Below are 3321 nucleotides of genomic sequence, written 5' to 3' on the forward strand. Positions count from 1 at the left end.
GATGGTCTCCATCTCCTGACCTCGTGATCCGCCCGCCTCGGCTTCCCAAAGTGCTGGGATTACACGCGTGAGCCACTGCACCCGGCTTTTCCTGGGAAAATTGTTTCCGTCTCACTACTTATTGGTCTTTTCAGGTTTTGGATTTCTTTGTGGTTCATTCTTGCTAGATTGTATGTATCTAGGAAAGTATCCATTTATTCTAGATTTTCTAATTTATTGGTCTATAGTTGCTCATACTAGCCTCTAATGATCCTTAGAATTTCTACAGTATCAATGAAAATGTCCCCGTTTTCATCTTGATTTTATTTATTTAGGGTTTTTTGTTTTTTTTTAGTGTGGCTAAAGGTTACTGGTTTGGTTTATCTTTTTTAAAAAACGAACTTTTCGTTTTGTTCATATTTTGTATGTTTTCATTTCAATTTCATTAAGTTTTGCTCTTATCTTTATTCTTTCCTTTCTTCTATACTTATTTTGGGTCTGGTTTATTCTTGCTTTTCTAGTTCTTTTAAGATGTATCGGCGCCACGGGCCCCGCAGAGCCAGGGCGGCTCCCGCCGGTAGCCTGTGTGTGGGCCCCGGCCAGCCGCGCCCCCAGTCCATATCGCCCTTCACTGCCCCGAGGCTGGCGCGGCTATGGGGCGCGGGGCCGGCGCTGCTCTGGGGCGTTGGAGCCGCGCGCCGCTGGAGGAGCTGCTGCCGGGGCGGGGGTCTGGGCGGCTCGGGGGGCCACGCGGGCCTCGGACGGCTCCCGGGGCTGTGGGCTTGGGCCCGGCAGCTGCAGGTGCGGGGCTCTTGCCGGCCGGGCGCTCCTCGGCTCCCGAGCGCCGGGTTCCCGGGCGGTCCCACCGCCACTGCCTCGGCAGGGGAGGAGGCCTGGCGGCGCGGGCGGGCGGCGCCTTCCCGGGACGACCAGCGGCTACGACCCATGGCGCCCGGACTCTCGGAGGCCGGGAAGCTCCTGGGGCTGGAGTACCCTGAGCGCCAGAGGCTGGCAGCTGCGGTTGGATTTCTCCGATGTCCGGTGTTATCTCCATGTCTGCCCCTTTCTTTCTGGGGAAGATCATCGATGCCATCTATACCAACCCCACTGTGGACTACAGCGACAACCTGACCCGCCTCTGCCTTGGCCTCAGTGGCGTGTTTCTATGTGGTGCTGCCGCCAATGCCATTCGTGTCTACCTCATGCAAACTTCACGTCAGCGCGTTGTGAAGAGGCTGAGAACTTCGTTATTCTCCTCCATTCTGGGGCAGGAGGTTGCTTTCTTTGACAAGGCTGGCACAGGGGAATTGATTAACCGCCTCTCATCGGACACTGCACTCCTGGGGCGCTCAGTGACTGAAAACCTCTCAGATGGGCTCAGGGCCGGGGCCCGGGCTTCTGTAGGCATCAGGATGATGTTTTGTGTCTCACCTAATCGGGCCACCTTTGTTGTGAGTGTGGTGCGTCTAGTGTCAATCATTGATGTAATTTATGGACGATATCTACGGAAACTGACCAAAGTCACCCAGGATTCGCTGGCACAAGCCACTCAGGAGGAACGTATTGGAAATGTTAAGAACTGTTCGAGCTTTTGGGAAAGAAATGACTGAAATAGAAAAATAGGCCAGCAAAGTGGACCATGTGATGTAGTCAGCAAGGAAAGAGGCATTCGCTCGGGCTGGCTTCTTTGGAGAACTAGGCTGTCCGGAAACCTGATTGTGCTTTCTGTCCTGTACAAAGGGGGGCTGCTGATGGGCAGTGCCCACATGACCATGGGTGAACTCTCTTCCTTCCTATGTATGCTTTCGGGGTTGGAATAAGCATTGGAGGTCTGAGCTCTTTCTACTCGGAGCTGATGAAAGGACTGGGTGCCGGGGGGCGCCTCTGGGAGCTCCTGGAGAGAGAGCCCAATCTGCCTTTTAAGGAGGGGGAAGGGTTATCTTAAATGAGAAAAGCTTCCAGGGTGCTTTGGAGTTTAAGAACGTGCATTTTGCCGATCCCGCTTGCCCGGAGGCGCCCATATTTCAGGATTTCAGCCTTTCCATTCCGTCAGGATCTGTCACGGCACTGGTTGGCCCAGGTGGTTCTGGCAAATCAACAGTGCTTTCGCTCCTGCTGAGGTTGTTCGACCCTGCTTCTGGAACCATCAGTCTTGATGGCCATGACATCCGTCAGCTAAACCCAGTGTGGCTGAGATCCAAGATTGGGACAGTGAGACAGGAACCCATTTTGTTTTCTTGCTCTATCACTGAGAACATTGCTTATGGTGCTGATGGCCTTCCTCTGTGACCGCTGAGCAAGTCCAGAGAGTGGCTGAAGTGGCCAATGCAGTGGTCTTGATCCGGAATTTCCCCCAAGGGTTCAACACTGTGGTTGGAGAAAAGGGTGTTCTCCTCTCAGGTGGGCAGAAACAGCGGATTGCAATTGCCCGTGCTCTGCTGAAGAATCCCAAAATTCTTCTCCTAGATGAAGCAACCAGTGCGCTGGATGCTGAAAATGAGTACCTTGTTCAAGAAGCTCTAGATCCACTGATGGATGGAAGAACAGCGTTAGTTATTGCCCATCATCTCTCCACCATTAAGAATGCTAATATGGTTGCTGTTCTTGATCAAGGAAAAATTACTGAATATGGAAAACATGAAGAGCTGCTTTCAAAACCAAATGGGATATACAGAAAACTAATGAACAAGCAAAGTTTTATTTCAGCCTAAGGAAACAATTACTGGTAAACAACATGAGAGACTTTAATGCAAAACAGTATTGTAGAAAAAAAAAACCTCAGAGACTGCATGAAATATGTAAACCATATATCAAGTTATTTGAAAAATAGCTATTTTTTCCAAAGCGTGTAAAATATTGCTTTGAAATGTACCTGTTCTCAAGATCTTTTTATTCAGAGTTTTAACCATTGTAACTTTTTAAATGTCTGTAGCACTGAAGTTATTTTCAGGTTTTGTATTTTCTTTCATTGTGGAATATTTTAATTAATATAGCATGGCACCTCATTTTCTTTTGCCTGCTGTTAAAGATGGAAGCTGTTGTCAAATAACAACTTTAAAAAGGGAAGTATAAATAAAAAGCCTGATTATTTTAGGCCAGTTTGCCAATCACTGTGTAATTCTTCTGGTAGTATTCTACCTACTTTAAGTCTAATTTTACTAGATAGAGTAATGGAAAATGAAAATCTAACCCTTTATTCCGATAATCTCATGAAGCAAACCTAACTATTTAACATCAGCTGGAAAGAAGGGAACATTTATATTGCCCGTCTCCTGTGTCTTCAAAGGTGTGAGAGTTGAGGAATATGTGTTCCTACGGGAACTATGTTTGAATATGTGCAGT

General features: G+C 48.3%; 1 pseudogene; it reads left to right on the plus strand.

Moving 5' to 3' along the window:
• Positions 521 to 2884, plus strand: ABCB10P3 (ABCB10 pseudogene 3; annotated as a pseudogene).

This window comes from Homo sapiens, chromosome 15, assembly GCF_000001405.40.
Source record: "Homo sapiens chromosome 15, GRCh38.p14 Primary Assembly".
Classification (NCBI taxonomy): domain Eukaryota; kingdom Metazoa; phylum Chordata; class Mammalia; order Primates; family Hominidae; genus Homo; species Homo sapiens.